Source organism: Homo sapiens, chromosome 15, assembly GCF_000001405.40.
Source record: "Homo sapiens chromosome 15, GRCh38.p14 Primary Assembly".
In the NCBI taxonomy this organism is placed as follows: domain Eukaryota; kingdom Metazoa; phylum Chordata; class Mammalia; order Primates; family Hominidae; genus Homo; species Homo sapiens.
The window spans coordinates 90,390,211-90,413,349 of NC_000015.10; the positions used below are offsets into that span (position 1 = coordinate 90,390,211).

Here is a 23,139-nt window from a genome sequence, read left to right on the forward strand (position 1 = left end):
TCAAGGTTAAGCTCAGGCTTTGGAGACAGACTCTCCAGGTTTGGATTCAGGCCCTGTCACTTATTTGCCATGGGGCTGAGTTCACCCAGCCTCAGTTTCTTCGTCTGTAAAATAGGAGTGATAATCACAGGATTGTTGTGGGGTTTCAATGAGAGAATGCGTGTAAAATGCTTCGTACAATTACTGCCACTTATGTCTCAATAACTGCTGGCTTTGGTCATTAATAAAAGAGGGAAACAATATTATCAGATCTGTATTTAGAAGGAGTTCTGGCAGATAGGGACAGATTTGTGCCAAAATCTCAAGACAGTATTTTTCAAGATTACACTGAAACTTAGTACATATTTATATTATCATACATTTTTAAAAAGGTCAAGATGATTATAGTTGAAACCACATAGTTCTTTTTTTAAGAAAGTCATTGTAGTACACCTGGCTGGCTACACACTCATTAGTTATCCTGACTTTCTAGGTGAGTGGCAGGAAATTGATTCTGTGGCAATCTTTTATCACTCAGGAAGGCTACAGATCCTGGTGTTTACATTCTTTCTTTTATGTTGTAGCTGTCCTGGATAATGAAAGACTTACTGCAGAGGAGATGGATGAAAGGAGACGTCAGAACGTGGCTTATGAGTACCTTTGTCATTTGGAAGAAGCGAAGAGGTAAAGATTGGCTGGCTGGAGAGAAGATTAAGAGAAGGGAACTGATAATAGTGTGAATACAAATAAAGATTGCTTTGAGGCTGAACACAGTGGTCCATGCCTGTAATCCCAACACGTTGGGAGGCCGAGGTGGGGGGGAATCACTTGAACCCAGCTGTTTGAGACCAGATTGGGCAACATAGTGACACCCCATCTCTACAAAAAAATTTTAAAAATTAGCCAGGCATGGTGGTGCATGCCAGTAGTCCTAGCTACTCGGGAGCCTGAGGAGGGAGGATCACTTGAGTCCGGGAGGTCGAGGCAGCAGTGAGCCGTGCTCTCACCACTGTGCTCTAGCCTGGGTGACAAAACTCCTGTTTTTGGTGGGGGGAAAAAAAAGAAAAGATTTATTTGAGTATGTTATAGATGTAACTGGGAAGCTGGTGGTTGAGGGAATAAGTATAGGTAGGGTATTTATTTATGGCAATAAGTAGCCTTGATGAGAGTTTATCATGAATCACTGTGATGGGCATTTAAGTGTACTGAACGGTTTTCCAGGTTTCTATTGTTCAGTCTTATGCTTATTGTGCATGTTTTGGGCGTTACCAACTGTGGGGTGGAAATAGCATTTTTAGGATTTGAAGTTATTGGCTTTAATGTTTCACTTATGCTTCATGAATTTTGATTTATATATGAATTGAGTCTCCTCCTCCTATGACCTGCGGAGTGGCTGCTTGGTTTGGGAGGCTTAGAAGCGTGGTGCTGTTGGTGTAGGTCCATCTGTTTGGCAATATTCAGAGTCAGCATCCTCTGCATTCTTTGTGAAGTGAATGTAAAGCTGCTCTTTTCCTTTTTCAGATGCCCCACAACCTTGTGGTCTTAATTTTAGAGTGTCATTTTGTTATCAGTGATTCATTTCTTTTGTTCTGGTGCTTGTGTTCTTTTGCAGAGTCCCAGGGTAGATGTAATTATAGATCATGTATTCTATAAGTGAGCTTTGGTGGAAAAGTCAAGTGAGGGATAATGAAATATTTGTAATTAACGTTTAATAAAAAGGGTGTTTGAAGTGGTGCTAATAAACAAGTGTGTGTGTATGTGTGTATTTTAATTCTGAAAATCTTAAAATGCTACAAGAAAGTCCAGAGAACAGTACAACAAACATCATTGTATTCCAGAACTAACAAATGTTAACATTTGAGATATTTCCCTTTCCTCTAAAAACAAAACAAAACAAAACCAACATCGCTACATTTAAAGTCTTTTTTGTGCCCCTCTGGTCCCATTCTTCCTTCTCCTGGGGCAAACACTAACCTGTATTTTGCATGCCCTCTTGTGTCTAGGCTTCTTTTCTGAGCTTAAAACTTCCAGGAAACTGGAGCTTGGGTTTCAGTGATGACTTAAGTGAGGAGGATAACACTTGTCTTTCTAAATAATAGAAGATGACATAGCAAGGCATGCTATATCACTAGAAAAGGGGGCATTTTCTCATATGAAGTTTATAAGAAAACAAAAACTGTAAGATCTCTGCCATTTAAATTGTGGATTTCAAGGTTTGGAAGGTCAAAGAATTTGGAAGCTGCAGCTGTTCTGAGAGACCATCTTGTGCTCTGTGGAGCTTTGGTGATTCCACTGAGGTGACCTGGGGGTGAGAGGGAAGAGCTTCAACACACCTTCCTTCCCCCATCCAAAGTAGCTCTGCTTTTGTTTTACTGTTGAATTTCTTGAATAAAATTCACTTGTTACAGAGGGTGTTTTGGCTAACACCTCCCCTCCCCCAAACACTACCAATAACTAGTTCAACTGCTAATCTAGTTCAACCATCTCATTTAATGAAGAAACTGAAGCCTGAGTTTTTTGGTCTACTTGTAGTTTTCTTGATTGAAGAATGTTTCTATCTTTTTTTTTTTTTTTTTGTACAGTCTCGCTCTGTTGCCCAGGCTGGAGGGCAGTGGCGCAATCTTGGCTCATTGCAACCTCCACCTCCCGGGTTCAAGCGATTCTCCTGCCTCAGCCTCCTGAGTAGCTGGAATTACAGGCATCCGCCACTACGCCTGGCTAATTTTTGTATCTTTAGTAGAGACTGGGTTTCACCATAATGGCCAGGCTGGTCTCAAACTCCTGACCTCAGGTGATCCGCCCGTCTCAGCCTCCCAAAGTGCTGGAATTACAAACGTGAGCTGCTGTGCCTGGCCTCATCATTTTTTTAACTATGGTTGTTAACCAGGTGTGTGCATTAGAATCACCTGGGGAACTTAAAAAAAAAAAAAAATACACCTATCTGGGCCCTACCATAGAGATTGTGGTTCAGTAGGTCGGGGTGGGAGATCCAGACACATAGTAGTCCCTTGGTATCTGTGGGGGTTTGGTTCCAGGACACCTGCAGATATCAGAATCCACAGTTGCTCAACTTCCTTATATAAAATGGCATAGTATTTGCATATAACCTTAGCACATTGCATAATATATACTTGAAAACATCTCTAGATTACTTATCATACCTCTAGATTACTCTAGATATATCTCTAGATTACTTATCATACCTGATCCAATGTAAATGCTACATAAATAGTTGTTACACTGTATTGTTTTATTTATATCTTTCTTTATTTTTTTCTGACTGTTTTTGATCCATAGTTTGTTGAATCCATGGATGCAGAACCCATGGATAAGGAGGGCCGACTGTATTTTAAATGTCTCTAGTGATTCCGATGCTCCTTCCTTGGCCCCCACTCCTCCCCCTGTTGAGAAACAAGATTTAAAACTCTGCCTTATGCTGGGATATCATGACCTCAGTAGAATGTTACACTTCATCCTATTTCTTCATCAGGTTCTGCATTAGCCAGGCATTTTATTTTCAGCTACTCTAGAGCGTCTTTTTTTCTGTCAGGTGTTTTTTTCCAGTATAGGAAAGTAGCCCATTTCCTTTAAAGACCACCCAGCAGGCATGATCCCCTGAGGTGTTTTTTTGTTGAGTGCTTTTGCATACTTAAGGAGTAACTGACCTGGCCCGGTGGCTCACGCCTGTAATCCCAGCACTTTGGAAAGCTGAGGTGGGCGGATCACCTGGCGGTCGGGAGTTCGAGACCAGCCTGACCAACATGGAGAAACCCCCGTCTCTACTAAAAATACAAAATTAGTCGGGCGTGGTGGCGGGTGCCTGTAATCCCAGCTACTCGGGAGGCTGAGGCAGGAGAATTGCTTGAACCCGGGAGGCAGAGCTTGCGGTAAGCTGAGACAGTGCCATTGCACTCCAGCCTGGGCATCAAGAGTAAAACTCTGTCTCAAAAAAAAAAAAAAAAAAAAAAGGCAGTGGAGACATTTGTGATGATCTTCAGGTTTTTTTTTTTTTTTTTAAGGGAGGGCATAATAGTGGCATATTACCCTAGCACACCCTGCCCATTGGCCTGGCATCATGGAAAGGTGCCTGGTCTATTTTATGGAGGCAATCATAAAACTGGGTGTGGTGATTTTTGTTGTTGTTTAAGGCTTTGATTTTAAAAAATCAAGGTTGGAAGCACCTATTTAGATTGTAAACTAGAGAGGACAAAGGAAAGAAGCCTGGGAATGTTATGGTGAGAAAAGAGGACTAGAATCCCTGTCAGCCACCTATGTGGCTGCTGCCACCCCTAAAAAGTGTTGTGAGTGCACCAAGGACAAATGGCATGCTCTTCGTTATTAGTGAGCTATTAACCTCTTCCAGTTCTTTCTCCTACCTTGGTGAACCGGCCTGTATCTTGTGTGTTCCGAGGGCCCCTCTTTCCCCTCTAGCGCTAGACCCAGTTTGCCTTTTTGGTTTGGTTCCATCCTGTTTCCTCCATAACCTCCACCCCTCCCAAGTTGGAGGAGCCCCAATATCTGGGATTTACAGTAACTCTAAGGCCAGGAATAAAGATCATAGAGATTGGAGGGAGAAAAGCTTCCCCTCTTCAGTTCTATTTATAATACCTCTACTTCTACTAAAAGCTCCACCTTTTAGTACAGTGGCCCCATTGTGTATCCTAGGGCACTCCATTTTCTCCTCTGCCTGTAACAGAGCTCTTTCTTGGGAAAAGAGAGGAGTGTGTAGAGAGTGAATATGACTGTGTAGAGGCAGTGAGTATAAGTAAGAGAGTATAAGTGTAGAGAGACGAAAGTTTTCTGTGGCTGTGGGTTTGTGTTTCCCTGAAAGGTTAACTGGGAAAATTTAGGGGTAATTCCTATAAATGAGCACTGGGAGTGGTTGAGAAATAGAAAATGTAGAGATTTCTGCTTTTCTTCATTGTTTGGAGAGCAGCTTCAATATTGAAATTAAGCCGCTGTTCTAATGAGATATCACCTAACGATTCAAGGCTTTTTGCTAAGGGCTGCACAATAGATCAAGGATACATCTTAAATTATTATTTATGCTTAAATTGAAGCTTATTTTTATCCTTTTGCCTGTTCTTATTGAGTTTTACATTTGTTTAGGCTAAGGAGCGGGGTTTTTTTTGTTTTTTTGTTTTTTTTTGAAACGGAGTCTCGCTCTGTCGCCCGGGCCAGAGTGCAATGACGCTATCTCGGCTCACTGCAAGCTCCGCCTCCCAGGTTAACGCCATTCTCCTGGCTCAGCCTCCCGAGTAGCTGGGACTACAGGCGCCCACCACCACGCCTGGCTAATTTTTTGTATTTTTAGTAGAGACGGGGTTTCACCGTGTTAGCCAGGATAGTCTTGATCTCCTGACCTCGTGATCCGCCCGCCTTGGCCTCCCACAGTGCTGGGATTACAGGCGTGAGCCACTGCGCCCGGCCGGCTAAAGAGCAGTTGTATAGGAGCAATGAATACCGTTTCACTCAGTTGAAGGAGGTAACATTTAAATATGTGAGGTATGTTCAGTGCTTAGGTCTTGGACAGGAGGAAGTAACAGATCAGAATAAGGTTCAGGTGAAAAGAACCAAGAAGAGAACGTGTCAGGCAGGACAGAACAGGGAATTCTGCAAGTGAGAAGAAAGTACGATTAGTACTGGAAATGGAAGAAAATTCAGCTAGGTTAAAGGTCACAGGAAGAAAGTTAATTCCAGCATTCTCTGAGTTTCAGACAATTCCTGGTGTGCGCTTTCAAGTCTGTCATGGGCCACCTTTCTGCTGCTGAGTGCCCGTACCCTAGCTCAAGGAATAGGGCACACCCCTCTTGTAGAAGGGAAGGTAGGAACGCTGGCTGGTTGGAGACTGTCAGCAACTCCACGGTGATAAGTCGAGCTTAGCACTAAGTAGAAGTATGTCACTTTCTGTAATTTAGAGGAATTGAAAAGGTATCTTGGAAAGAAATTAGTTCTTGGGAACAAAGTCTTTTTTGTGCATATGTCTTTACTGTTGGCATAGAGCATTTTCTGGGATGGGCTCTTCAGATCTCCTCTCCCTGTAAGTGATTTCAGAATTCCATGAATGTTGGGATATGTCCAGGCTGGCACCCTGGGATCATGAAAATAGAAGTTAAGACATTTAAGAAGCAAGAAAACAAAATGGGTAGGTGAGGTGACTAGGAAGAATATCATGCCCAGCACTTCTAGAATTCTCAAAATGAGGAGCATCACTTAAATTTTGAGGGGGATCATTTTTAGGATGGTGACCCAAGCTCTCTTTGTACAGATGAGAAGTCTAGTTATCTCATGAGACCCAGTGTGACTAAAGGACCATAGCATGTAGCTGCGTAATGGCACGGTGGCACTAGGAGCTGATCCATTCATTTATTTATAATTACCAAGGGGAAGTATGGGGTGAGATTTATTCTTAACTCTTAAAATGGTGACATACACTATTTTAAGAATAAACCTCCATTCTTTTTTCGGATATTAATTTAGTGCAACGGCCTTGGACAGGCTCCACCATAAGAAGTGGGTTGCATTTAAAAGTGTATTTATTAAAAGTGGTTGAAGCTGAGTGCTTTTCTGTATTGTAACACTGTTGCAAATGGGGAGTATTCATTCCTAATGTGGCTGCCGAAAGCTTTTTACCCTACCATGTAGCTGAAAATTTAGCAAAAAAAATTTTTTTTTTTTTTGGAGACGGAGTCTCGCTCTGTTGCCCAGGCTGGAGTGCAGTGGTGCGATCTGGGCTCACCACAACCTCTGCCTCCCGGGTTCAAACGATTCTCCTTCCTCACCCTCCCGAGTAGCTGGGATTACAGGTGCCCACTGCCATGCCTGGCTAATTTTTGTATTTTTAGTAGAGATGGGGTTTGACCATGTTGGCCAGGCTGGTCTCCAACTCCTGACCTCAAGTGATCCACCCGCCTCGGCCCCCGCAAAGTGCTGGGATTATAGGCGTGAGCCACTGCACCCAGCCTAGCAAAATTTAAAATTAAGAAATGTAAAGAGTTGAACTAGTTAGTACCCATTATTATTAAGAAAAGTCATGTGGCTCTATATTCTCATAGTACGAATAATTAAGTAAAATAGAAATTCAAAAGTATGAATAAAATTTCTTTGAAAATCTTGAATGTTGAGATATCTTGCCACAGTGAAAAGAATCAGACTTTCTGTTTTGGCAGGTGTGAGTTCTGATTCTGGTTTTGCAAGTTGCTTAACGTCAGGGAGTGAGCCCAAATTTGTCCTTTGCAGAATGGGAACGCTATGCATCTTACAGAGCTGCTGTGATGGTTAATTGCTTGGCACAGTGAAATACAGTAGGCACTCAACAAACTTTTTTTTTTTTTTTTTTTTTTTTGAGACGGAGTCTTGCTCTGTCGCCCAGGCTGGAGTGCAGTGGTACAATCTTGGCTCACTGCAACCTCCGCCTCCCAGGTTCTCACCATTCTCCTGCCTCAGCCTCCCGAGTAGCTGGGACTACAGGCGCCTGCCACCACACCTGGCTAATTTTTTACATTTTTAGTAGAGATGGGGTTTCACTGTGTTAGCCAGGATGGTCTCGATCTCCTGACCTCGTGATCCACCTGCCTCGGCCTCCCAAAGTGCTGGGATTACAGGCGTGAGCCACCACGCCCGGCCTGAACTCAATAAACTTTTATCCAAGCACCTGGATAAAGGATATCCTGAATTTTTTCTTTTCTTTTTTTTTTTCTTTTTTTTTTTTGAGATGGAGTCTCACTCTTGTTGCCCAGGCTGGAGTGCAGTGGCACTATGTTGGCTCACTGTAACCTCTGCCTTCTGGGTTCAAGCGATTCTCCTGCCTCAGCCTCCCAAGTAGCTGGGATTACAGGTGCCTACCACCATACCCAGCTAATTTTTGTATTTTTTAGTGGAGACGGGGGTTTCACCATGTTGGCCAGGCTGGTCTCAAACTCCTGACCTCAGGTGATCCACCCGCCTTGGCCTCCTACAGTGCTGGGATTACAGACATGAGCCACTGTGCCCGGCCTCCTGAATTTTCACATTAAATCTGCAAAAGGAAAAGCAGATTTAATGTGAAGATGACAGGAATTTTCTGGGCACTTTCAAGGTCCTAAGGTTGGTAGCCCTAGTTTTTTCACTTCAGACCTTAGCTTTTATCTGAAGGAAAACACCAGAAACAGAAGATACTTCTAGGGAGTGGAATGGGGGTAGAGGGTGTGAGATTTCCTTTTTACTTAATACTGTACTATATATTTAAAATGCTTTTTACAGTGATAATTTTATAATAAAGGAAAAGAAGGGATTAAGTAAAAGGAAAAACTGTGTATATAATTTTTAGATATAATCACAAATTCAGATTTTTAAGTTACTACACAGATGTTCCTCGATTTAGGAGGGGGTTATATCCCAATATTGTAAGTCAAAATGCATTTAATACACCTAACCTACTGAGTATCATAGCCCAGTCCACCTTAATTGTGCTGAGAATACTGATGTTAGCTTACAGTTGGACAAAATTATCTAGCACAAAGCCTATATTACAATAAAGTATTAAGTATCTTGGCTGGGCGCGGTGGCTCACACCTGTAATCTCAGCACTTTGGGAGGCCAAGGCAGGTGGATCACTTGATGCCAGGAGTTCGAGACTAGCCTGGCCAACATGGTGAAACCTCATCTGTACTAAAAATACAAAAAACATTAGTTGGGTATGGTGGCGTGTGCTTGTAATCCCAGCTACTCTGGAAGCTGAGGCACAAGAATCACTGGAACTGGGAGGTGGAGGTTGCAGTGAGCTGAGATCACGCCACTGTACTGCAGCCTGGGTGATAGAACCAGACATTGTCTCAAAAAAAAAAAAAAAAAAAAAGTGAATATAGGAAATCTTCCTTGAAAAAACAAAGATACTCCTACCTCAGCTTCTCAAGTACCTGGGACTATAGGCCCACTTCACCTCACCTAACTAATTAAAAAAAATTTTTTTTTTTGTAGAGATGGGGTTTCTCTATGTTGCCAGGCTGGTCTTCATCTCCTGGGGCTCAGGCTATCCTTCGCTAAAGTGCTGGGATACAGGCGTGAGCAGCCACACCTGGCCTGTATTGTCTTAATTTACTATTTTCAGTGGCCATCTAATGTTCATAATTTATTTAGGTTTATTCCTGTTTAAAGTTCTATTGCTTTGATTGCTGGAGAGTTTAAACATTTTCTTACATATTTGTTTATCAGTATTATTTTCTTATGCAAATTTTCTGTTTTTGTTATGTGCCTGGCTTCTAGGGTCATGATGTTAACTTTTGTGAGCTCTTTTATAACATGGACTTGACTTTCTCTCGTATTTGCTACAAACATTTTCCCTTGATGTTTCATTGTATTTGTTTTCTTCATTGTAGTTTTAAATTTTATTGAGTTTAAATGTCAGTCTTTCGATTTGTAATTTCTTCTATCAACTCGAAGTCTAGATAGTTTAATTTCTCTAAAACCTTGCCAAAATTTTCAGTTTAATAATCGATTGGCTTACTTTTTATATATTTGTAGAGATGGGGTCTTGTAATGTTGATTGTAAGGGGAACTTATCCCGAACTTCTGGCCTTAGGTGATCCTCCTGCCTCAGCCTCCCAAAGTGATGGAATTACAGGCCTCTAATATCCTTTAAAAACCAGCTGTTTATTACCTATTAGCAATTCATGTCTGTTTTGTCAAATATTATGTATATATATATTTCTAGTTCTGGACTTTTAAATTATGGTGAACCATATTTCATTTTTTTGAGAAAAATATATATGACTTTGTTATACTTCTTATCATTGAGAAACAACATCTGAAGCTAGCTTAATTTTAACTCTATGACAAGTAACTTGATTTTTTTTTCCTTTTTTCGTGACTTGAAATTTGTAGAATTGTTGTTCCTTGAGGTATAAACATTTCCCCAGTTAACATGTTAGGGTTGCTATTGGCTTAGCAATTTTGCCTGCAATGTGGAGACTCTTCTTGGTTTATAATGTCTCTTGTTTGTTTATTTTAGCTTTAGGAAATTGTCCATTATGCCTGTGGTGATTAGTTAGATCTGTGTAGTCTATTTTATGGCTCTTCTTCATTTTGTTTACGTTAAATAAGCGTTCTAGGTATGTGTCTCACATACATCTTTTGTTGCACTGACTTGATTTTCTACAGTCTTGATATTTTTTCCTTGGTTCTGTTAATGGTAGTTGCTTTGTCCTATTGTAGTTTATATTTTTAATTAATTCCTTTTCCGTCTCCATTCTTGTTAATAGCTTAAATGATCTCTTTTTAGTTCATGAAGAAGAGTGTGGCACAAAAGATCCTTTCAAGGTGAAAAAAAGGAGCAGGTAGCCAAGATAGTTGGGTTACATAGTTTACCACTTCCCTTTATAATCCGTAGGTGTTGAAATAGATGTGGCCATGAAAAACCAGTGTTAATCGGGCAGCTGAGTGTATGGATTGTCCACCAGTCAAGGTTGGGGAAAAAATCTGGCTGGGCTAAGTGTGGCCCGTTAGTTTGACCTCATTTGGCATGTATTTCTTCTGGTCTTACAGGTCAGAGCAACTGTTTTTATATATTTTAATGTCCCTAATGACAAAATAGTAAAAATACATTTGAGGACCCAAGTTGGCATGTTCTAGGAATTTCATTTTCCGGCTTAGTGTGGTGACCTGCCTCTGATTGCTGTACAATTCCTTCTGCTTCACAGTGTCACATCTGGGGATACCAGTTGGTAGTGGAACCTGTTTTGGACATTTTTAAGCCTTGTGGTATCTGATGGACTCTTGGTTGTTTCTAGCTGGTGCTAAATAAACCCCTTGACAAGAAGTATTTGTGTAAGAAAGCGCTGGTAGGCAAAGTGAGAACATCCGGAAGTGATTCATATTACTGTGGTTGTTTGCTTAACTCAGGACTTGGTTGCCTAGAGACCATATCGTTGAGTTAGCCGAGTGAAGTGCCAGTGGAACCTGGAGGGCCTGTGGCCTACCGGATCAAATCAGGGCTCTGCTCCTTAATTTTTCTCCTGAAGTCTCCTAGCAATCTGATTGATCTCTGTGGTTTGACAGTGCGTGAATTAAAAAAATCTTAAACATATTAATGTTTAAGAAAGATCTGGTTAATGGTTTATTTTGAAGAGTAAGAGTTTACTTGCTGAAGTTTGAATGTTGGGTTAAAATTTTTTAAAAAAATAGTTGTATGTTGGGAAGAATTAGTTATTTCAATAAGGCATTTTATTCTAGAAACCTCAGTACTTTAAGGCAGCTAAAGGAAAGCCAAAATAATCCCCCAAAACAAAAAACCAAAAACCTGCAATTTGCAAGGCAGTCATAATCTAAAATATTTTCTGTCTGTCCCAAAGTCAGTGTATTCCCCTTGCCTCTCCCCCTCTTCCTCATTGTCATGATTAGTACCGTTTATTGCATACTTTCTACATGCAAGGCACTGTGCTAAGCACTTTATATGCTTTATCTAATTAGCTATTCTTGAAGCCCTGTGAGGTGCTTATTATCTACATTTAACAGATAAGAAAGCAAAGCTCAGAGAGGTTAACTCATTCATCTAATAAGTGGTTGATCCAGATTTCAGGTTTGGCAAGAACTCTGAAGTCCTTTCTCTTAACTGCCATGTTAGTCTGCTGCTGCTATACTTCTGGTTCTAAAAATAATGACAACAGTAGTAACTACTGTTAATTAAGCAGAATGATGATGAAATTTACATATTACATTATTGTGAGATAGGCATTATTTTTATTTTAAAGAGGGAAAAAAATAGAGTTGATAACACTTTTCCCAAGGTCATATATTGGAATTCAAGCCCAGGTTTGTGACACCAAAGCTGGTGCTCTTAACTTCTGCAGATGCTGAAGTGGCAACATTTAAGTCTAACCTCTTTAACTGGTGCCCAGAGACATTAAGTAACTTGTGTAGTTTTCAAGTCAGTGAGGGAACTCCATCAATTTCCTGCCACTTATTTTGGAGTCTCTTCCACCTGCCACCTGAGGGAAAGTCTCCAGTTGTCTTATGTATTTTTGTGTCTAACTAGCTTGTTGGACCCTTCCTAATTGCTTCCCTTCTTCATAACCTGGTATCTGCTTTGAATTCAGCTTAGAAAGGTGTTCCTTCCTACCACTTTCTTGTTTGTTAAAGAGTTACCTCATACAGACAGGAGTGGCAAATTGGATTGGAAATTGCTTTGGATCATTTGGCAAGAACTGTATTTTTGGGGTTGTGGGAGGAGGAGAGGCCTGTCTAAAAGCTCTATTTCTTCTTTACTCAGAATACCTTCCTGTTGACTCATTGGAAATCATAACAAAAAGCAGAAGGAATATTGGAGAGGCAGCTGCCAGCCTAGGGCTTGGCTTCTGTTGGGGCAGCTGTTTGGGGATTTAGACACACTGGGCTCTAAGAACTGTGAGGTTTCTGCAGCAGAAGGAAATAGTATTACTCTGATAGGTATTTATTCATAAGGTTAAAAAGTGTCAGACTATTGCTTGGGATTATTGATGAGCAACATAAGAAACTAAAAATATTTTCTCAAATAGAATTAACTGGTGATCCTAAAAACAGAATGAATTGAGGAATACAAGAGGGAGTGGGGGCAAAATTAGAAAAGGAAAAGTTGAAAAGAAGAGAAAAAAAACTTACAATCATTAAAAATAGGAAAAAGATAACATTTAAATAGAAAAAGTCTCACAGATATGCATGCAGTAGGCATTAATCAGCAGGTCATTTTACTGTAAGTAACATACATCTCAGATGACCTTTAAAACAGCTAAAAGTAAACAAAATTTGTCTTTTATTTAAATGACTATTATAACAAAATGTTTTTTTGGGCTGGGCCCTGTGATTCACACCAGTAATCCCAACACTTACGGAGGCCGAGGAGGGAGGATAGCATCAGGCCAGGAGTTCATGACCAGCCTGGGCAACATATTAAGACCCTGTCTCTACAAAATATAAGAAATAAAAAAAAGCCAAACGTGGTGGCACACACCTGTAGTTCCAGCTACTCGGGAGGCTGAGGTGGAAGGATCACTTGAGCCCAAGAGTTCGAGGCTGCAGTGAGCTACGATCACACTGCTGCACAAAAATGTGTTTCTTCCCTGAAGACATGCTATGTCATTAGTTTGGGCAATACCTTTTCATAATTGATAGTTTAAAAAGGTAGTGTTTGACAATGGCTTGACTTTTGGGGTTTTCCTTAAAAATTTGAGAATCCCCATAGGAATGTTTTTTAGATAGATTTGGTCTTAATTTAAAATTTTTAAATTTAAAACATTTTTTTCTTAGAAATAGGTAATACACAGACGTGATACATAATTCAGAGACTATGCAAGTATATAACACTGAAAAAAAGTCTATATCCTTAGTCTTCTTTCTCTAGCTATTCAGTTATTTTCCCCACATGGAACTGCTATCATGATTGTGTCTCTTTCCGGAGATATTCTGTGCATGTAAATACAAATTACTTTGATTTGTTTAGAAGTGGTTGCACACTGTACATTTTGCTTTACATCTTTTTGTTGTTGTTTTTTGAGATGGAGTCTTGCTCTGTTGCCCAGGCTGGAGTGCAGTGGTGTGATCTCGGCTCATTACAACCTCCACCTCCAGGGTTCAAGCGATTGTCCCGCCTCAGCCTCCCAAGTAGATGGGACTACAGGCAATCCGCCATCAGGCCTGGCTAATTTTTGTATTTTTAGTAGAGACAGGGTTTCACCATGTTGGCCAGGCTGGTCTTGAACTCCTGACCTTAGGTTATCTGCCCGCCTTGGCCTCCCTAAGTGTTGGGCTTACAGACATGAGCCACCGTTTTGCTTTGCATCTTAAAATTCATTCCATATGAGTGAATGTGGAATGAAGTGCCTCTTTTTTTCCTTCACAGTTTTAGTTTTCGGTTTTGAAGTTAACCTGTCAACGGACATTTTCTCCTCAGCTTTTGCTGTTATAAAAAGTCACTTTGTAGGTATGCCATTGTGCATGTATGAGTATTCTTGCAGGATAAATTTCTAAAAGTGTAATTTCTGGGTCAAAGGGAATATGCATATTTAGTTCTCAAAAATATTGCCAATTTGCTCTCGTAAGAGGTTGTACCAGTTTGCACATCTGCCTGTCAATAATGTACATATAAGAAGGCTGTTTCCGCTTTAATTTTACCAACCCAGAGTATTACAGATTTTTTACATTTGCCAGTTTCATAGGTGAAAATGGTATTTCATTGTAGCTATTTTGGATTATCTAATTATGAGTGAAGATGAGCATCTTTACATGTGTTTAAAAGCCATTTGTATGTTCTTTTCTGTGAACTTTTTCGGTAGAATCCTTTGCTCATTTTTCTATTGGATTATTCATCTTTTTCTTATTCATTGTGGTAAGAGCTCTTTATATATTGAGGAAATTGGCTCGTTGTACACCGTGGGTGTTATAAATATTCATTCCACTTTGTCCTTTAATTTTTTTTTTTTGAGAAAGTCTCATTCTGTTGCCCAGCCTGGCGTGCAGTGGCCCGATCTTGGCCAGGTTCAAGCGATTCTTGTGCCTCATCCTCCCGAGGAACTGGGATTACAGGCGCGTATCACCACACTCAGCTAATTTTTGTATTTTTTTAGTAGAGACAGGGTTTTGCCATGTTGGCCAGGCTGGTCTTGAACTCCTGATCTCGGGTGATCCACCTGCCTCGACCTCCCAAAGTGCTGGGATTACAGCCAAGAGCCACCTCACCTGGCCATTGTCCTTTAAATTTTGACTTTGTATTTCAAATAAAGTTTTAAAACATATTTGAACTTACTAATATTTTACTTTTAGTTTTTGAATTTTTTGCATGATTTTTAAAGAGTCTTATCTATACTGAGATTATATAAAAACATTCTCCCATGTTTTCCTCTAGTATGTTTAGGATGTAAAGTGTTTTAATATTTAACTCTTTGATCCATTTGGAATTTATTTTGGTGTGAGGAGTAAGATAGATCCTGCTTTTTTGACTTTTGAATCGTATTTTACATTTTGAGTCTTAGCAGTGTCTTAGGAAATGTGCTCTGGAGGGTGTCTTGTGCTCTAGTTTATGAACTGATATCTTAATTTTTTTCAGAACAAGGCAGCTTCAACTGTTGAGCTTTTTGAAACATATGGCTTAACTATCATTTTAGGGAATTTGGTTAGGATTTTCCAGAGTGCTTTCAAGCAAGTTATATTGTAATGCTAAACAGATTAATATCGTGTAGTAAAGTTGGCGTTGAGAAAACAGGTTTTGAATTAACAGCTTTGACATAAAGACTGTGAAGAGATTACTAGACTTGCCAAACTAACATAATTTATTCTTTGTGTAAAGGAGAGTGCAAATTTGGAGTTTGAAAAACTGTGTGGCTGACTTTCTAGATCAGTATTTTTTGAGGTATATTGTGCTGTGACATTAAAGAAAGGGTTTAGTGGTGAAATAAGCTTCAGAAATACTGAGTTAAACCAAGCCAAATATTATTCAAGTGGCAAATTATTTGGAATCTTTGTCATAGACTTGTAAATTCTGAGTCTCCAAGGCAAAGGATAGTGTATGCAATATTCCTCAAACCTACTTTATCAATAGTGTTCCAGGTTTTTTTTTTTTTTCTGGTTTGCGAACACTTTTTTTTCTATCAGTTACGGATTTGAGGGACTATTTTTTCTTTCTTTTACTTTATTTTTTATTTTTGGACTCTAAGACTTTCTTCAGAGACTATTTCAAATAAGAATTTGGGAGATGTTCATGGTCACTTCTCAGCTATTTTGTGTTTTATGATAGTTAGTTTACATTCTCCGTTGAGTTATCCTGTTCTTGGCTTATAGAGCTTAAATTAAAGCCATAATTGTACTAATTGGATAGGTATAATTGCTCAGTGATCTTTAAGGCATTGCAAAGGACGGGAGTGTGGTTTTTAAAAATGAGGGGTGCAAATGTACTAATTATTAAAAAGGAAAAGATAAATATGACAAATTCTGGTCTAGTAAACTAGTTTCTGGCCAAACATTGGACCAGAAAAATTCCAGAGCACATTGTCAGATGCATAACTTATGAACACTTAGCGAGAAAAGTGATGCTTGGGAGCCAACATGGGCTCCCTAAAAAAAGCCCTGTCACATTAACATCATTTCCTTTTGGACAGGGTCACCAGATTGGTGAATCAGAGAAAAACACACGCCTGGCAATTTTTTGTATTTTTAGTAGAGACGGGGTTTCACCGTGTTAACCAGGATAGTCTTGATCTCCTGACCTGGTGATCCACCCGCCTCAGCCTCCCAGTGCTGGGATTAGAGGCGTGAGCCACCGTGCCCGGCCGGGGTTTGTTTTTGGTTGATGAAAGTGTTCTGGAATTAGATAGTGATGACGGTTGTACAACATTGTGAATATTCTAAAAGCAACTGAATTGTATATTTTAAATGAGTTTACGTTACGAATCGTATCTCAGCAAAAAGAGCTGCAGATTTTTAGTTCAGAGAAAGCACTTTTAGGGCATGTTATTTGTAAACATTTTTATTGGGACTTACTAGGGCGTCAGTGATGTGTCAGTGAAGTTAGGATTTTACTTGTTTCTAGAGAGATAGTTAATATATTGTAAGGCACATTTTGCTTTCAATGTACCGTGAATCTAATAATGAAATTCAATAGTAATAAGTGTGATGTCCTACATTGGAGTTCAAAAAGTGTATAGGATAAGGGAGAGAAGTAGCGTTAGTGGGAATAACGTTGGTGGGAAACGAAAACAAAATGAAAGAAACCTGAGAAGTTCATTAACTCATTAGTAGATATATGGTATATGCAGCCAAGGAAAAGATGGTTCCACTGTCCTCTGGACTAATCAGAGGCTTCCTGAAATTGGTGTTTAGTTCTGGAGGCCATACTTTAAGATGGATCTCGTAGTCTAGAGCAAGGATGTTAGATTTGTGGTAGGTTATTTTACACCCACAGCAAGCACTGCTGATAGATCAGAATCCTTTTCAACGTAGAAGCTGAGGAACCACTCCCAATCAGTGGGTGTTGGTTGTCCATTAGTTGAGACTTAGTTGTTGCTCTGGGATGAGAGCGTGTTCGATGAGTATGACCAGGATGATAAAGGGTCTACCAATTATGATCTATGAAGAATAATTGGGAATACTGAGGCTATATAAAATGGAAACAAGATTTAGAAGAAATATAAAATCAGAATCTCAGAAGCTCAACCTTTCATCTAGTTTAGGAATTCAGTCAACTGTTATATTAACATTTTACCTACTTTACTAAAAAATTCCTGAGAGATGGGAGGGGAGTTCATTTTGTCAGATGTGGTGCCAGGGGAACAGAACTAGACAATGGAAATCTGCTTAATAGGAGGATAGTTTCTTATATAACAATAAGAAATTTCCAAACGGTGTCTGAGCTGCTTTGGGAAAACCCGTGTTGCAGATTTTCAGGTTTAGACTGTGTAACAGTTTAATGGAAGATTGTTATGTTCTAACCTAAGTATTTTCTCGTTATTTAAAAACAATTTTTATTTCATTTCCTGTGTTATTAAAAACTATTTTTATTTTGAATGACTTGATACTATTCCATTGCTCATTTTTTCTAACATGGCTAAGAAGTTGGGAAAATTCCTCCAATAAAATAATTACTTTAAAGCAAGTAAAACACGTTTTTAGCTCCTCCATTGTTCAGGACACTCTGGGAGAACTGAAGAAGATGCGAAAGTATAAAACAGTCCTGCCCTTAGGAGCTTACGGATTAATTGAAGACAGGGCATAAACATTTGAAAAGTTACCCAACATCAGAGAATGAGAGGTCTCAGTGTCACAAGGCAATATGTAATTGCTGAGGAAATGATGCAAATAGTTAATGTGTGAGAGTTTAGACAGGGAAAGATTATTTTATGGCTGGGTTTTTCAGGATAAGCTGACATTGTATGGTCAGGCGTTTCCCTTTCAAGGGAAAGCATAACACTATGTATACTTGTCTTGTTCTCTGTGCTCCTTTAGAGTTGAAGCTCTTTCCACTTCCTGGTACCCAATGGCACCTCTCACCACAGTGCTTTTTACAAAGTAGGTGCTTGGGGATATTGTTAAGTTGAATGAGTACAGAGTTGTGTGGTATGTGGGGGTTGTGGTAGGAAAAAGAATTTCAGTGTTATGGTGATAAGAGCTTGGGGTAATTTTCTGTTTTGGTTTTTGTTTTTCTTTTATTATTTGGTTATAATTGAGACCAGGAGTAATACGGTCCCTAAGCAAGAGAGAAAGAGCAGTGTGTGTCTTTCAGTAGAGTCTTTCTAATTTATTCAAAGATAAATTAGAAAAGGATTCTACCCTTATGTACATAAATAACTATTAGGCGATAAAGAGATATAAAGTGCCATAAGAAAGTTTAGAGGAAGTTTGGAACGAGAAGAGATTATTTCTGATGGTAGGTCATGAAAAGGTTCGTGGAGGAGAGGTGACTTTTGAAGGTAACATTTGAATTGGCAGGGATGGGTGGGGCTGATCACCTAAAAGTTATACTAAACCTTGTATTCTTTGTGGGCATCCCTGTCTCTACCTTCCTGCATCGTGGCTTGATGACATCTATTTTCTCTCAAAACTTCTTCACATTTTGGCCCTAACAAATTTACCCCATCTCATTTAACATGCTATCACTTAAAAAATTAATTAATTAATTTTTAGAGAAAGGGTCTTGCTCTCTTGCCCAGGTTGGAGTGCAGGGGTGCAATCATAGCTCATGGCAGCCGGGAACTCTTGGGCTCCAGCCATCCCCAGACCTCAGCCTTGTGAGTAGCTGGGACTGCAGATGCATGCCACCATGCTGGCTTAACATGCCATCTTGACCTCTTTCCCTGTAGCAGTGGGAAAAACGTATTTTTCTCCTAACACTTAACCTTCTATGTGTGATCTAGATCCTATCCCTTCTTGTCTTCTAGGGTTCTTATTCCAATATTATTTTCCCAACTATAACTTGCACTTTTTTTCCTGCTGCTTCTTTCTCTTTAGCACATGAACATCCTCACCCATTCAAGATACACTTCCTTACTCCTAGATACCCTGATTGTTTTCCCCTCTTTGTTCTTTCAAGGAAAATTTCCTATATTCACTTTTTTTTTTTTTTTTTTTTTAGATAAGGTCTGGCTCTATCACTCAGGCTGGAGTGCAGTGGCACGATCTCGGTTCATTGCAACCTCCACCTCCCGGCTTCAAGCGATTCTCCTGCCTCAGCCTCCTGAGTAGCTGAGATTATGGGTGCCCGCCACAACAGCCAGCTAATTTTTGTATTTTTAGTAGAGATGGGGTCTTACCATGTTGGCCAGGCTGGTCTCGAACTCCTGACCTCAAATGATCCACCCGCCTTGGCCTCCCAAAGTGCTGGGATTACAGACGTGAGCCACTGCGCCAGGCCTTAATTTTTACATTTTTTTGTAGAAACGGGTTTCACTGGGTTGCCCAGCCTGGCCTCGAACTTACGAACTCAAGTGTTCTACTCACCTTGGCTTCCCAAAATGCTGGGATTGCAAGTGTGAGCCACTGTGCCCTGCCCCTATATTCACTTCCTTAACTTAACTCATTTGGATGTAATTCCTGTGCCTTCCTTTTCCCCATTGAAATTTCTCTTGCTTAGTTCCACCAACAGTGTAAAAGTGTTCCTATTTCTCCACATCCTCTCCAGCACCTGTTGTTTCCTGACTTTTTAATGAGCGACATTCTAACTGGTGTGAGATGGCATCTCATTGTGGTTTTGATTTGCATTTCTCTGATGACCAGTGATGATGAGCATTTTTTCATGTGTCTGTTGGCTGCATAAATGTCTTCTTTTGAGAAGTGTCTGTTCATATCCTTTGCCCACTTTTTGATAGGGTTGTTTGTTTTTTTCTTGTAAATTTATTTGAGTTCTTTGTAGGTTCTGGATATTAGCCCTTTGTCAGATGAGCAGATTGCAAAAATTTTCTCCCATTCTGTAGGTTGCCTGTTCACTGTGATGGTAGTTTCTTTTGCTGTGCAGAAGCTCTAGTTTAATTAGATCCCATTTCTCAATTTTGGCTTTTGTTGCCGTTGCTTTTGGTGTTTTAGACATGAAGTCCTTGCCCATGCCTATGTCCTGAATGGTATTTCCTAGTTCAACCATTGTGGAAGACAGTGTGGCAATTCCTCAAGGATCTAGAACTAGAAATACCATTTGACCCAGCCATCCCATTACTGGGTATGTACCCAAAGGATTATAAATCATGCTGCTATAAAGACACATGCGCACGTATGTTTACTGCGGCACTATTCATGATAGCAAACACTTGGAACCAACCCAAATGTCCATCAGTGATAGACTGGATTAAGAAAATGTGGCACATATACACCATGGAATACTATGAAGCCATAAAAAAGGATGAGTTCATGTCCTTTGTAGGGACATGGATGAAGCTGGAAACTATCATTCTCAGCAAACTATCACAAGGACAGAAAACCAAACACCGCATGTTCTCACTCATAGGTGGGAATTGAACAATGAAAACACATGGACACAGGGTGGGGAACATCACACACTGGGGCCTGTTGTGGGGTAGGGGGAGGGGAGAGGGGGGAGGGACAGCATTAGGAGATATACCTAATGCTAAATGATGAGTTAATGGGTGCAGCACACCAACATGGCACGTGTATACATATGTAACAAACCTGCATGTTGTGCACATGTACCCTAGAACTTAAAGTATAATAAAAAAAAAAAAAAAGAAAAAACATTCCCAAGATCCCCTCAAAAAAAAGAAAAAGAAAAAGAAATTTCTCTTGCTCATATCACCAATGGCCTAATTGCTATGTCCCATGGAAATTTTTCTAGTACTTAATCTCTGCAGCATATGTCACTCTTTCCTGTTCAATTCATGGAGTTTTCTTCCTTTTAATTGGGTATCTTTTTTATGCTTTTTGAATTTCGAACTGTGTATTGAAGTATTGACCTGTGTAAAAAATATATTGCCTATCTAAGAAAATCAGTTAGCATTCCTCTGGGAAACTCACTTGGCCATCCATCCTTACCCCAGGTCTAAGTTAGATGTTCCTCTCTCATGTATCTTTATTATAACTTTTCTCTTTCCTAATGCACTGTTAGCCTTAGAAGGCAAGTACTACGTTCTTTCTTTCTTTCTTTTCTTTTCTTTTCTTTTTTTTTGGAGACAGGGTCTCACTCTGTTACCCAGGCTGGAATGCAGTGGTGTGATCTGGGCTCACTGCAGCCACAACACCCCCAGGCTCAGATGATCCTCCTTGTCTCAGCCTCCCAAAGTGCTGGGATTATAGGCGTGAGCCACCTCACCTGGCAGTACTGTGTTCTTAATGTATATCATAGTTAACCCCCACTCCCTTATTTTCTTACTAAATAATAGGTGTGAAAATTAAATTTTTGACATATATGGCTCTAGCAGAGGATTGCTTTTACAGAGAAATAGGTGCCTGTCTTCTACTTTGTAGAGGACTCTTACCTGTTGTTTTCTTCTCAAGAGCTGCTCACAGGTTAGTAATGATTAGGCTGTAGAGCTGCTCACAGGTTAGTAATGATTAAGCTGTAGCTTCTGAGACTTAGCTATCATCTAGATTTAACTCAGTTTTGGAATTTCATTTCATTTCATTTAAGATTAAAAGGTCTTTCATGCTCCATGGTAAGTGGTAAACTAGGGATGGATGGATAGATAGACAGCTGACCATGGTAATGTTTCACCAGACTCTGGATCTGAAGACTTGATCAAGGAGTAAGTAATCTATTAGCCGAGACTTAAACAAACGAAAAACTTTATTGGAGTTTAATACACATCCCACAAAATCCACCTGTTTTTTTAATGTACAATTCAATAATATTTAGTAAATTTGCTGAGTTGTGCAACCCATCACTATGATCTAGTTTCCATTTCTCCAATAAGACCAGGGACTCTATTAAAATAAAACAATTAGACATGTAATTTTGACAAGTAGACTTGACCTATTCTATCTGATTATGCTAAGAATGAAGTGATTTGCTCAGGGGTCTGTATTAGATATAAATACACACAGAAGTTAAATATATAACTTGAAGCAAAAACATTTCCCTGTTTTTCACTTATTCCTATAGCTTTTCAGATTGGCCTAATTTATACTCAGGTTTCCTTTAAAACAGATACTATCAAGATTTCTCATTTTGCTTGTATGGTTTGAAAAACAAGCCTTTTTTGTTCCTTGGCTGGATTACTGCAATACTTTCTTTAGTGTCTCCTCACTTCTCTCTAGCCCTTTCTCCTACAACTGCTCAGAATGGTCTTTTGAATTAAATCTTATTCTTTAATTCCTGTGTAAATCCTTCCAAGGGTCTGCACATTCTCTGCCCTTGGCCTGACGTATTCTCCCTTATCAGCACATACCACAAGTCTTTCAAGACCTATAAAATCAGTACCATTTTCTCTGGGAAGTCATCCTGATTCCCCTCTTTCTGCGTATGGTGAAGAATGCTTTATGGAATACTCTGCATTCCTTTCTCTCAAGACTTAGATTTACCATTACCATATGGAAATTTCTAGGCTGTTTCCAATGCCTAGGTGGTGCTCAGAAGTGTTAGTGGTTTAGTAGAATCCTAATTGTGGAGAAAGACAGCCAAATTTGGGAGGTTTTTAGCATAGAGTAACCCTGGCATTCAGGGATGTTTGCTGTGCAAGATGGGTGTGGTACCAGAGGAGCTGTTCCTGGAGGAACTGAATCTCAGTGGCTTGAAGTGGTCAGTTCCGGCATTGGTATGTTCCCCTTCTGTATTGCACAGAGCTGGGAAACCACTGAAGTCATGTGCTCTGCAGAACTTGTTCAACTGGTTTCCTCTCCACAGACCCCTAATTCAGATTTCCACCCTTATTCTTTTCTGCATATGCTCTTAGTCTGGGCTTGTTTTAAGGTTTACCACAGTAGAGTTCTCAGTATAGTTATTTATTTGTCTTGCTGAGTGTAGAGTGGGTAGGGCCAAGTATGTACTCCCTTTGAAAAGTGTTATCAGTAAGACAAGATAGACAGGTATTATGTAAATCATGGAGTGTCAGACTCCATTAGCAGGTTTATTTCTGTGGATCTAACCATTTCACCCCCACACTCATGTGTACATACACATATACATAGCTATCATTATTTAGAGCCTACTACTAGTTGCTGGGTGAGGTGTCAGAGCCCCGGCATTGGAAAGTAGTCAACTCACAGGTTGGTAGGAAGAATTTA

General features: G+C 39.8%; 1 protein-coding gene across 2 annotated transcripts in view, besides 4 other annotated features; it reads left to right on the plus strand.

The window, feature by feature from the left end:
- The window catches only part of IQGAP1 (IQ motif containing GTPase activating protein 1), a 113,998-nt gene that overhangs the window by 1,969 nt on the left and 88,890 nt on the right, over positions 1-23,139 (plus strand). For both annotated transcript variants that reach the window (NM_003870.4, XM_047433204.1), the window contains exon 2: positions 564-663. In NM_003870.4, the coding sequence (NP_003861.1) occupies positions 564-663 (100 nt within the window). The remainder of the gene's footprint in view (positions 1-563; positions 664-23,139) is intronic.
- Positions 4,819-5,320: an enhancer, noted in NCBI's record as "H3K4me1 hESC enhancer chr15:90938261-90938762 (GRCh37/hg19 assembly coordinates)". NCBI's record gives its function as "activates a minimal SCP1, AML or CMV promoter by ChIP-STARR-seq in naive H9 embryonic stem cells {active_cell/tissue: H9 hESC(naive)}" and the evidence as "EXISTENCE:reporter gene assay evidence [ECO:0000049][PMID:30033119]".
- Positions 5,321-5,820: an enhancer, noted in NCBI's record as "H3K4me1 hESC enhancer chr15:90938763-90939262 (GRCh37/hg19 assembly coordinates)". NCBI's record gives its function as "activates a minimal SCP1, AML or CMV promoter by ChIP-STARR-seq in naive H9 embryonic stem cells {active_cell/tissue: H9 hESC(naive)}" and the evidence as "EXISTENCE:reporter gene assay evidence [ECO:0000049][PMID:30033119]".
- Positions 17,856-17,905: a silencer, noted in NCBI's record as "silent region_6820". NCBI's record gives its function as "represses an Ori minimal core promoter by ATAC-STARR-seq in GM12878 lymphoblastoid cells {active_cell/tissue: GM12878}" and the evidence as "EXISTENCE:reporter gene assay evidence [ECO:0000049][PMID:35858748]".
- Positions 22,121-22,852: an enhancer, noted in NCBI's record as "NANOG-H3K27ac hESC enhancer chr15:90955563-90956294 (GRCh37/hg19 assembly coordinates)". NCBI's record gives its function as "activates a minimal SCP1, AML or CMV promoter by ChIP-STARR-seq in naive H9 embryonic stem cells {active_cell/tissue: H9 hESC(naive)}" and the evidence as "EXISTENCE:reporter gene assay evidence [ECO:0000049][PMID:30033119]".